The sequence below is a fragment of the Homo sapiens genome, chromosome 11 (assembly GCF_000001405.40).
Source record: "Homo sapiens chromosome 11, GRCh38.p14 Primary Assembly".
Taxonomy (NCBI): Eukaryota; Metazoa; Chordata; class Mammalia; order Primates; family Hominidae; genus Homo; species Homo sapiens.
In genome coordinates this window covers 100907350-100919838 of record NC_000011.10, presented here as the reverse complement: position 1 = coordinate 100919838, position 12489 = coordinate 100907350, and the positions used below count along the sequence as shown (strand labels likewise).

The window sequence follows — 12489 nt, the reverse complement described above, 5'->3', positions numbered from 1 at the left end:
GCAGGAAAAGGGCTCTCTGGAGTGAGTCTTAGCACACTACTGGGTGAAAGGGCTGCAAGAATATTTTCAGTTTTAGGGACACTATTCTATTCCACAAGTTATTTTGAAAATTTTATTTACTTTAAAAGATAATGTCAGGCTGGATATGGTGGCTCACATCTGTAATCCCAGCACTTTGAGAGGCCAACGTGGGAGGACTGCTTGAGCTCAGGAGTTCAAGACCAGCCTGGGCAATCTAGTGAGATGCTGTCTCCATTTTTTTTAAAAAAGAAAAAATACATAACATCACTGATTGTGTTGCCTAGCACATGGGAACAAACTAGAATGTTGAGCCCTTTAGAGTCTAAAATGTTTTTTTTTCTAGTCAATGGAACTATGCAGAAAAGATTTAGCACAGCAGGCCTGACTGCTGTGTTTTGAAAGGTTTGCTTACAAGGTTGGCCCTTGGCTGGTGTCTGGGAATGTTAGTTTAGGGAGGGTTCACATCACTCTAACTGCTAAGAGGTGGCTTACTGCACCTAAACTGTTTGTACAAACAATACGGTTTATGCAAATATCTCCTTTCCCTCTGGGAGTTTGGAATTTGGGTACGTGCCAGGAAGCGAGTGCTATGTGACCAGCCTCCAATAAGTCTCTAGACAACAAGTCTCTAATGAACTTCCTTGGTGGACAACATTTCACATGCCACAGCTCCTTGCAGGGGGGAATTGAGCATGCTCTGAGTGTCTCCACTGGGAGAGCACTCTTAGAAGGTTGCACCTGGTTTCCCCCAGAATTTGTCCCCTGTACCCTTTTTTATTTCCTTTTACTGTAATAAATCATAGCCACGAGTATGACTATATGCTGAGTCCTGTGAGTTCTCCAAGCAAATTACCAAAGCTGGGGGTGGTCTTGGGTACCCCAACACAAAAGTATTAAGTCATTTCTTCAGAAATGTATTTGCCATGCACAGTCTCATCCCACTTGCCCCCCTCCAAAAAGGGGAATGAGAAGCAAAGAAAGGATGAAAGAGAAATGACTCTTGCTGCTTGCCACTTATAGGTGTTTTCATAGCCTCCAATGCGGACTACTGAAATTTGATACACCAAAGCTGCTGTGAAACGTCATCCAGAGCATACAGTATTAAGGAATATGACAGTTTAATTTCTTTACAGTACAAGATATAGAAAGACATTCTTTTAGTTAAAATAGATCTCTTTAGTATTTAAGCTCACCATATGACTCACTAGCAAACACTTGCTTATAAATCCACTAGCAACTGGTACTATATATTTTGTACTGGATAAGTAGAGTAACACTAGGATTCATCAATCGAAATGAGATAATTTTAAAACTGAAAGAGAGCACTAGTAATAATTAGGCCAGAACAACAGGTGTAAACTTGTTTACCTGGCAAAAAGGGACCTAAAGAAACCAGATTAATTTAATAAGAAAACCATATGGTTCTGCAGATAGCTTATTGTAATGCTATCTCAATTCAAAAGACAGGGAAAGGCATCAGGTGATATTTGTTGGATATTTTCCCAAGGAGAAAAGATTTAAGCTTGATTTTGAAGAATGAGGAACAGATAAAATGAGAAGAGTTTGAGTGATGTGATAGAGTCAGGAAAAGAGAAGCTATGCTTAGGTAGGACAAAAGGTTTGTGACTAAAGGTTTTGTTTGGAGGAGACAGAAATGAGAGTTAAGGCAGAAAAAAATAAAATGAGTGTAGATTTCATCATATAGGCAGTGCAAAAACTTAAGAAGGAGGCTGACAAGAAACAAGCAACATTCAAGATTAACATGAAGACAGTGCAGCATATAGTAATTAAGTGGTAGCCTAAGTACATGTGAATATAAAAAGATCTCTTATCTGATAATGGTGAAGGTGTCTGGTGCACCCCAGCAAGAAAGAGAAGCTGAATGATGTGGGTGTGAGAAGCAAGGAAAAAGCCAAAGATAAATTTGATACAAAAAAATACTACTACTAGGCTGGGCGGAGCTCATGCCTATAATCCCAGCAATTTGGGAGGCCAAGATGGGAGGATCACTTGAGGTCAGGAGTTCAAGACCAGCCTGGCCAACATAGTGAAACCCTGTCTCCACTAAAAATACAAAAATTTGCTGGGCATGGTAATGCACACCTGTAGTCCCAGCTACTCGGGAGGCTGAGGCACAAGAATTGCTTGGACCCAAGAGGTGGAGGTTGCAGTGAGCCAAGATCATGCCTCCACATTCCAGCCTGGGCAACAGAGTGAGACTTGGTCTCAAAAAACAAATAAATAAATCATAATCATAATCATAATACTAGCATTAACAGATAATTTAAAAATGAGAGGTAGGAGCAAATTTGGGAAAAGAGGGTGAGGTGCAAGATTTCACATATCACTAGGAATTGGTCAATCTAAAGTCTTAGCAACCAGACAGAGGACATTGCAAAGACAGTCCGGCACAACAAAATCATCCCTTGAGAGATGTTCATCCAGATGTTATAAACAATGTGAAAGTAGAAGAGGTTTCAGGGACAGAAACTGAAGGATAAGAATAGAGATATTAAGAACTATGCCTAAGGACTTTACTTCATTTAGGAAGTGCCTCAAGAGGAACCTACTGAAAGAATAGTTAGTGATAGGTGGAAAACCAACACCTGGGTGTCTAAAGGGAATCTATTTTCCCCTTTACTTTTTTCTTAATTATAAATGTAAAAATATTCATTATTGTAAGCTTATTTATTATTTGTTACTATGACAGAGAAATGTGAAGATAGTAAGAATTGCAATCCCACTGTTTAATATTTTGATGTGTAACACACACACACACACACACACACACACACACACACAAACTTATTTTAAAACAAACCTGTATAATACTGTATATTCTGGTTTACAATCTGCTTTTTTCCTGCTTATTTGTATGAATATTTCTCAATGTCTTTAAATAATTCTCCAAATAAAACTTTTAACATATCACACTCCATTTTTGATCAAACTACATTTGTGTATTTACCCCAATTATTCTTTGTGACATTTCAGATGTTTCTAAATTTCTGCACTTATGAATCTTGGATCAATATTTAAACTATATTTACACAATTTTTGTGCTCATCTCTGATAATTTCTTTGGGGTAAATTCTTACCAAGAGAAATCGTCTCAACTACCTAGCATGTTTCAGGTTTGTTGAAATACAATGTCAAATTTACCTTAAGAATGATTAAATCTTATGCTCCCACCAGGAGAACAAAAGTGTGCCCAATTTCCTATACCTTCACTAACAATAGATATTATCTTGATCAAATTGAAAATGACATGTTGTTATTTGCGTTTTCAAATACATGTGACACTGAAACTAACCACTTTTATTATAGTTTATATTTCCTCCTTAGTCAATGCCTGTTTGCCTTCTTAGCCCATTTTTTCCATTGAAGTGTTTACCTTTCTGACACTGATTTTCCAATGCTTCTTGTATATAAGAGATGATAGCCCCATGTCATATGTTGTTTAAATTCCCTAATGGTTTGACATTTAATTTGGTTTAATGTCTTTCAAAACAGATTACTTATTTTTATGCATTCAGGTCTTTCTACATTTCCTTTATGCTTAGAAAAGAATTATTTATTCACATAACAAATATTACTCCTTTCTATCCACTATAAAGCCTATAATCTTGACAAGTTTGCTTCTGATTCTCCAACTGTTTACTCCAATGGCCTAGTTGACGGCCTTGGGATTTTGTTAATAAAAGATGACCCTTCAATTCAGTCCTGGAAATGGGCAGCCACTTATTTTTCATGAACAAAATGAATAAGGAGTCAGCTGTGCAGGTAGGAAGGCACAGAGGAGCCTTTTTGAGAACAAGTTAATAAGCTTGGTGCTGACAGAAGGACCAGAGCTGTTCTAGAAAGGAGCAGATGACTTTTAATGCCATGTCACAGAATTAAATATGTTTATGACAGCATCTCCCTACAACAGGTCTGATTCCTAGAGGGGCGAAGGGAGGGGGGAACCCAAGCTACATTTTGCCTTGTCTACATTATATACCCTGGGAAGCTACTTTAACAAAATTTGTTAGTTGTGTTGTGTTCTAAGATGTATCTCCTGGAAAAGAAGTGTGTGTGTACTTGTGGAGTGAGGTGGGGGAGAGGATGTTACTATGCTATTATCTTCTCCAGCCTCCACTTAAACATGGAACCAGAATGAATATTCTATTATACCATAGCCTAAGCTACTAGCGAGGCAAGTAATGAATATTGAGCTAAGTTGTCAGGAAAAATTGAGGTATATTCTCTAGAGCTCTTTAAAATTAGGATAATGTTATCATTTCCTTAAGGTGGTTTAAGCAATATCCTTTCAAAGGATGACTTCCGATATTTATTGGAGCCTGAAGTTCTTTAGGGCCTCTAAGACCACCCATAATTTTCCTGTAGTCAATTTGTAAAAAGGCACCTGGCCATAGCCCTGGGCATGGTAGATGATGATGTACTGGTGATAATTAGATGAGTGTCTCTCTACATAACTACATCCACATCCATACCATAACTCCATTCACTCTTAGGTTTATTCTAGTGCAATGTATTAAGACATTTGGTCTTAATATCACTTAAGACATTTTGGTACATGTAAACATAGTATTAAATTACAACAAGCAGTACCAAATACAGTAAGGTTAAATATGTCCAAGAAATTTCAAATAGAAATCTAGTTTTTCTTAATGGCAGATTGTCTTCCATCAGTTTAGCATCAAAATCTTTCCATAAGCACATAATTATATATTAAATTATACTATTTTTAATAGCATGTGTTAATAACAGAAAGCACACTGATGAAGCCATATATAAATATTAAGCACAACAAAACTTCCCAATGTTAAACATCTTTAAATAAAGAAATTTGATACTGTCGATGAGAACATATGCCTGTTGGAAAAAAAAGGCATCAGATGCCAAAATTACACTCCTATTTCTTTTTGAGGCTGTAGGAACTTTGTAACACTCTGAGTTGTCAAGCATGCCTTCTGGTTGAACTCAGAGGTAGGAGAAATAAGAAAAGGAATAAAGAGAGCTGAGGACCAGGATGAATTTGAAAAGCAGTTCAGGAAGGGAGGAGGTTTTCCTAGCAGAAGGATCAGGAGAGAGGCTCTGGACTACAACAACTATAAGTGAAGAGAGAGGAGGAGGAGACTAAAGGAGACCTCACGGTTCCCGATCACTTTTTAGACAGCAGTGTTGAGCTGCGGGTGAGCTACCCAGCAACTCCCTACTAATGGTGTTCACTTCAGAGTACACCAGGAGGCGGAGGAGAGATGAGCGCTGCTTCACATTTGTTGTTGTTGTTGTTGTTGTTGTTGTTCTCAAGGTGACAATGGCAAGGGAGTCTGTTTGTTTATTTATTTATTTTTTTTGGACACACTTTGTCACTGAAATTGGAACTACATTATTCCTTAGTAAAAGAAGTGGCTTTGATTTTATGAATTATAGTTAAAACACTACCAATGGGAAGAATAAAATATATTTCAGACAGATGGAAGAAACAAACTGCTTAGATGTGTAGATGTGAGCAAAATATTTATTCATTTGTTCTTAAAGAATTTCATATAAAATAATTGAGATTTTAAAACATGTAGCGGTGGGGCACAGTGGTTCATGCCTGTGATCCCAGCACTTTGAGAGGCTAAGGCAGGCAGATCGCTTAAGGTGAAGAGTTCAAGACCAGCCTGACTAACATGGTGAAACCCCGTCTCCATTAAAAATACAAAAATTAGCTGGGCTTGGTGGCACATGCCTGTAATCTCAGCTACTCAGAAGGCTGCAGCACAAGAATTGCTTGAACCCAGGAGGCAGAGGTTGCAGTGAGCTGAGAGTGCACCACTGCACTCCAGCCTGGGCGACACAGCCAAACTCCATCTCAAAAATAAAATAAAATAAAATAAAATGTGTAGCTGTGTATCTATCTTTCCCACAACGCTGAAGCAAGGCCTTAAAATCAATGTCAGAGATATTTTAACTTTAAGCTGAAGGCCATAACATGAATTTAATAGGTCCTGTCCCTTTAAAAATGCTCAAAAAGAATAAAAGTGAAAGATCTTGTTTCAACCTTTCTCATTGTTGAAAGAAATATTGATCCTTCACTTGGAACAGTTATAATGTGTTTAAAGTATCGCCCATAGTAAGTGCTCAATTAATTTAGCCATTGCTATCATAATTATTTTATTAAATAGTAGCAGATTTTGAGATAGTTTTACCTTTGGAAATTTTGACTTTATATGACTTAATGCCTTTTCCATTATTTCAGTTGGAAAAGCTTACCTCTTGTAAATGAGACTCCTTTTTCTTTGCGGACAAATTTAAATGCTTTTCAAGGATAGAGTAATATTTTTCACTCTCTTTGTCAAACTTCTTCTTTCCATCCTAAAGGAGAGCAATAACAACAAAAAATATTTAACTCAGAGCACCCAGAAAACCCCGACTTTCACCATTCCCATCAAAGTCCCATGTAATTATTTAATAAAGACAGTGAGTCCCAACTATGTGTAAAACCTTAATTTAGTAAAAATAGGAAGATGTAAGTGAAACAAGCCATTTCAGTATGTACTCTGCTCTCAAAAAAGCTTTCCATCTTGCGGTGAGAAATCCATGTATAAACAAACAGGGCAAGTCACATCTCCTTTGGAGTAAATGGAACTGTAGTATGGGTAGGGGCCAGGCTGGCTACAGTAGAGTCCCACCAAGAGCTCTATAATTGACTCTTAACAATAGATTCTGATCCAGTGGGTCTGAGATGTGACCAAGAGAAAAATGTCTTTTTTAGGCTTTTTGTTGATTCAGATGAGTCAATATATAATGTCTAAAGAACCCACTCACATGGAATCTTTTCACAGAATCATATTATTTCTTAGCCACAAAAGACACCTGAAATATCAAACAACTCATTCTTGACATGGAGGAGAAGATTTTTAAATGCTGGTAGCTTCAAATAATTAAATAAGAAAATTTGAAGTCGAATAAATTGAAAGGATTAACAACCTCTGTACCATAAACTCTGAACATAACTCTTAATAGCCGACCTTTGTTCCTGATATGTTGGAGTTTTGGGGAACAACTGGGAGGGGGAATAGCTGAGAAGGGAGTAACTTTACCTTTTATCTTATGGCATGCCTCCATAGAAATGCAAATGGAATGAAATATTGAAGGGAAGAGGACATTCCTGGGCATATAATCTTCTACTACTATAAATGTTGTATCCACCAGATATGTCTTTTCCATTTATAAGTCCATATGAAACAAATACTAAGTAACTACAATCATAAATTTCATTGGCCAAAGAAGTACTACTCCTTCCTTTTATTTCAGTGTCTCTGAAACTGCAACCTCTGGATCACCTGAACTAGGTGTTTATAAGCATGTTCAGACTGCAGATTCCTATTTTTCTCCTTCCAGAGATTCTGGAACTGATTTTTTTTAACAAGTTCATTATGTGTTTATAACACATAATGCTTTGCTTCATTACTTGCATAAATACCTAGAAAAGGTTACTTAAAAATAATCAATGAATAGATGCACAGACGGATGGGTGGTGGAAGGGAAAGAAGGAGAGAGGGAAGTATTAGATTAGTGCAGAAGTAATTGCAGTTTTTGAACCTAATTGAAGAGAAGGAAAATCTTCTAGCTTAAGGGATTTTTCCTGCTATTCTGAGGTTGTCAAATCCAGGTTTATCTATCTAGGAAATGTAATTTTGATCCATTGGCACTCTTAAGTTTCTTCTCAGTTATACTTCCAAGAATCTATCATAATCTTTTTCCATGTGTGGAATTTTAGGAAGTGAGCTGGTAAAATTGAGCTGAAAAGGGAGAGTAAGTCAGGTTCTGCTTTAAGAGTTCACATCACTTTTAGACCATGTAAGAAGTACTGAGATGCTTGTACATTAAAATATTACCATCTATAAATGGGGGGAAGGGAATAAATCAAACTATTCAAATAATTCTTATTACCTAAGGAGAAAATGTGGTCCTACCAAGATAAACACAACTGGAAAATGAGTAGGATTCCACCACAAAAGGTGTGTTAAGAAACTCACATTACAAAACATGAAATAGCTGACCCAAAGGAAAAGAGAGGCCCAAGGTTCAGGATAGAGAGGCTAGTCCTCTCCACTCACTGTTGGAGTAGATACCCAGGTGAATTTCTCATCTTTTGCTTGGTGGATGTTACTCTTTAATCTGGCACTTTATGTCCACAACTTACCTGCAACATACCTTTCTAAAGGTCTCTCTCACTACCTCTTTTTCAGCTCCCTATCCATGATCCTTTTTTCTTTTCTCTCTCTAGGTCATTCCCTCTGACATAAATGCTCATTTCTTCCAATTTCCACACATTCAAATTATATCTACTTTTAGCATCCAGCTCAAATAAATGCCATTCATAATTCCCTTCTTTCAACTCTCTCCTTTTTGAATGCTCATATAGTTATATATATGGGTCTCTACTAGGGTTCATGTTCTACTTACAGCAGAGATTTTATGTATACACCCCCATCTACCTTAAAATGGAATACCTAATGAATACTCAATAAATATTTAATAAGTAAATTCTTCTTCTTATAATAGTGGCCACCACAGACCCTCACAGACATTCTATTTGTTCAACAAACTGTTATCCATGGTACAAGGGACAAATCTGTACAAACAGTCCTAACTCAAATCCACTAAGTGAGCAACCAGCCGGGTTACAGTATAGTACAGAAAACTGACTCCCTTTCATCTTAAAATAGATGCTTAAAATTTCTCACTTTTCATAGAAGAGGAAGAAACTGGTTTCAGGAGGAGAGTGCACAGCTGTGGTGACAACACTTGTATCTTTGTTTTCAGTTTGTGTAGGGTGACATTTTTGGAAATGTTAATTTGGAGCCAATACATCAGCATTTCTGGCAATACAAAAATCATTCTGAGAACCACTTCCTGGACTCTTATTCAAACCAGGCCCCTTCACACCACCAGGCCAGAAAAAAAGATCTCAAGGGTTCCAATGATGTAGGTAACAAAAGCACACTCAGTTTAAGCATAAAATTAAAGAGCTGAGATAAAAGACTAGGCCACATGAGGGACAACTATAATCTAGGGAAGCATGCTCTAGAAAACAAAAAGCACTTTTCCTTGCAACTCACATCTCCTCCAAAAGCCATGATTTACTGCTCATGTAAGCCAAGTCTTATTTGGACTTAGTAATGTAACCCCATATAGCTACCTCTTGTCTCTTGTGTTACTTGTTGTGGACATGAAACTAAGAATTTTCTCTGAAATAAGCGCTGCTTAAGGAAGGGGAAAATAACCCATGAATTGTTCCTAAATGCTGTTCATGATCACTGTTTTCTTATTGATATGGCATTATTTTAAAAAAATAGAGACTTCATACTGTAATGGGATGTTTTCTGTCAGTCCACAGTATGTGCATTTCAATTAAGTAATCATTTAAAATAAAATCACAATAAAATAATAATCTCGATGGAAAAAAGATGAGAAGTGAGGTAGAAGGGGATGTCCTAGAAGATAAATGACCCTATATAAAGCATAGTACTGTTTTTAGTATCATAGTTGCTGCCGTTACTTACTATATGTCTATGCAGATAAAGATGGAGAGACAGAGAGAGGAGACACAGAGACAGAAGGCAACTACTGTCTAAATAAATAAAATATATCCTCAAAAACGGTGAATTAGTTCTCAGACCCAATTCTAGCTGGTGAAAAGTAAGCTACATTTGGGTCTGCAATCAGTTGGCTTTCTAATCTACACTGCATTTATTCTGGGTATAGTGCTCACGTTATTACTTACCAACAATAACCATGGTCATGCCACATGTCCATTTTATACACTCAAATGAGGAATGGAAGGAAACTACTGTAACACAAACTCCAAGCGTCAACTTTGCTCTTAAAATTATGGTTTGTATTAATTTTAAAAGTGTCAAATATTTATAAGACTGTAGGCATATCACAAAGATAAAAATATATTAAAATACACACTCTTACAACCAACTGATCTTTGAAAAAGTTGACAAAAATATATAATAGGGAAAGGACACCCTATTCAATAAATGATGCTGGAAAATTGGACAGCCATATGCAGAAGCATGAAACTGGACCCCAATCTTTTCTCTCACCATATACAAAAATTAACTCAAGATGGGTTAAAGACTTCAAGGTAAGATCTGAAACTATAAAAATCCTAGAAGGCTGGATGCCGGTGGCTCATGCCTGTAATCCCAGCACTTTGGGAGATGGATCGTCCGAGGTCAGGAGTTCGAGACCAGCATGGCCAACATGATGAAACCCTGCCTTTAATAAAAACACAAAAATTAGCTGGGCATGGCGACGGGCATTTGTAATCCAGCTATTCGGGAGGCTGAGGCAGGAGAATCGCTTGAACCCTGGAGCAGAGGTTGCAGTGAGCCAAGATCGCGCCACTGCACTCCAGCCTGGGCAACAAGAGTGAAACTCTGTCTCAAAAAGAAAAAAAAAAAAAAACAAGAAAAGTCCTAGAGAAAAACCTAGGAAAAACTCTGGCCTATGGAAAGAATGTACGACTAAAACCTCAAAAGCAAATGCAACACAAACAAAAAATAGAACTTAATTAAACTAAAAAGCTTCTGAACAGCAAAAGAAATAATCAACAAGTAAAAAGACTACCTACAGAATGGGAGAAAGTATTTGCAAACAATCCATCCAACAAAGGGCTAATATCCATAACCTACAAGGAATTCAATCAACCTCACAATAAAAAGACAAATAACCCTATTAAAAAGTAGGCAGAGGATATGAATAGATACTTCTCAAGAGAAGACACACAAGCAGCTAACAAACATACAAAAAAATGCTCAATGTCTCTAATCATCAGAGAAATGCAAATTAAAACCACAATGAGATACCATCTCACATCAGTCAGAATGGCTGGTCAGAAAACCACAGATGCTGGCGAGACTGCAGAGAAAAGGGAATGATTATACCCTGCTGGTGGAAATATAAATTATTTCTATGGAAAACAGTATGAAGGTTTTGCAAAGAACTAAGAATAGAGCTACCGTTTTACCTAGCAATCCCAGTACAAGATGGGATTACCCAAAGGGAAAGAAATCATTAGATCAAAAAGTTACCTGCACTCATATGTTTATCACAGCAGCATTCACAATAGCAAACTCATGGAATCAACCTAAGTGTCCATCAATGGATAACTGGATTTTATAAATGTGATATATATACACCATGGAATACTTACTACTCAGCCATAAAGAAGAATGAAATCATGTCTCTTACAGCAACATAGATGGAACTGGGGGCCATTATCCTAAGAAAAATGACTCAGAAACAGCCAAAAACTGTATGTTCTAACTTATAAGTCAGAGCTAAAAAATGGGTACACATGAATATACAGAGTGGAGTAATAGACACTGGAGACTCCAAACAGTGGGAGGCAGGTGAAGGATGAAACATTACCTGTTGGGTACAATGAACACTATTCAGGTGATGGGTACACTAAAACCCCGGAATACACACTATTGTTTTAAAAGAGGCCAACTCAATGTCTTCCACTGATGACAAGCAAGTACCAAAGATGAAGAACAAACTTTACCACACTTAATCATAAATAGAAATAAATTATGGAAATGTTATCTAACCCCATTTTTCTACAAAAGACTACTAGAAAGCTTTGTTTAAATACTTAAATTAGAAATCTTCATTTTAATATTACTAGAAGTTTTTAAAAATAAGTGAATATTTCTACATTTCTTTGTAGTAAAAGAACCTATCATTAATATTGATTCATGATATTTTCAACAGTCTCAGTATTATTAATTGCCACATAGGATATTGTGAAATTTCCCAAGCAACTATTTTTGTTATCATGTTAGCATAGCCATTACCTAAATAAGCACTACTTTGAGAAATCCTTCAACTTAAGTAATAGTAAAAACCAATAGCTAAGTTTCTATTCCAAAAACATGAGGAATTCTTATAAATTATCATGGTGCTAGGCTCTGAAAATACATAAGAGGATTAGAGATAGCCCCAACTACCACCCCTAATTAGACTTCTTCTTCCTCTGATGGTGGGATGTACTCCTTGCCTAGAGTGGCAGCCCACAGCAGCATCACCACCTCTGATTCCCAGAAGGGCCAGTTGCTAGCACAGTCCATCCCACGTTGTTTAGGCATTACCTGGAGCCCAAGGGATCTTGGCATCCAGAAGCTCAATTTGGTGAAAATATTGGTGTGGCTTGCACAGCAGTGTCTCTCCTGTGGGTGATTCCACCCAACAACTCCTAATCTCTCCAACCCATTCTCCACCAACTCCCCCATCTGCAAGCAGCTGAAATCCAGACATCCCAAAATGGCTTCTTTCTGGAGGGTTGTACCATTATAATTCACCATATCTCTTGCTTTCCCAATTACATCATTGCCACCACCACCAGGTAATCAAACTCACAGGAACCAAAGGATTCACATTCGCATTTACAAGGAA

The 12489-nt window shown here is 37.2% G+C and overlaps 1 protein-coding gene across 5 annotated transcripts in view, besides 2 other annotated features; it reads right to left on the bottom strand.

Annotated features, from left to right (window-relative positions):
- Positions 1 to 12489, bottom strand: part of ARHGAP42 (Rho GTPase activating protein 42) — a 306654-nt gene that overhangs the window by 74103 nt on the left and 220062 nt on the right. For all 5 annotated transcript variants that reach the window (NM_001367945.1, NM_152432.4, XM_011542616.3 and 2 more), the window contains one exon: positions 6286 to 6387. In NM_001367945.1, the coding sequence (NP_001354874.1) occupies positions 6286 to 6387 (102 nt within the window). The remainder of the gene's footprint in view (positions 1 to 6285; positions 6388 to 12489) is intronic.
- Positions 8658 to 8797: an enhancer, noted in NCBI's record as "active region_5431". NCBI's record gives its function as "activates an Ori minimal core promoter by ATAC-STARR-seq in GM12878 lymphoblastoid cells {active_cell/tissue: GM12878}" and the evidence as "EXISTENCE:reporter gene assay evidence [ECO:0000049][PMID:35858748]".
- Positions 10948 to 10997: an enhancer, noted in NCBI's record as "active region_5430". NCBI's record gives its function as "activates an Ori minimal core promoter by ATAC-STARR-seq in GM12878 lymphoblastoid cells {active_cell/tissue: GM12878}" and the evidence as "EXISTENCE:reporter gene assay evidence [ECO:0000049][PMID:35858748]".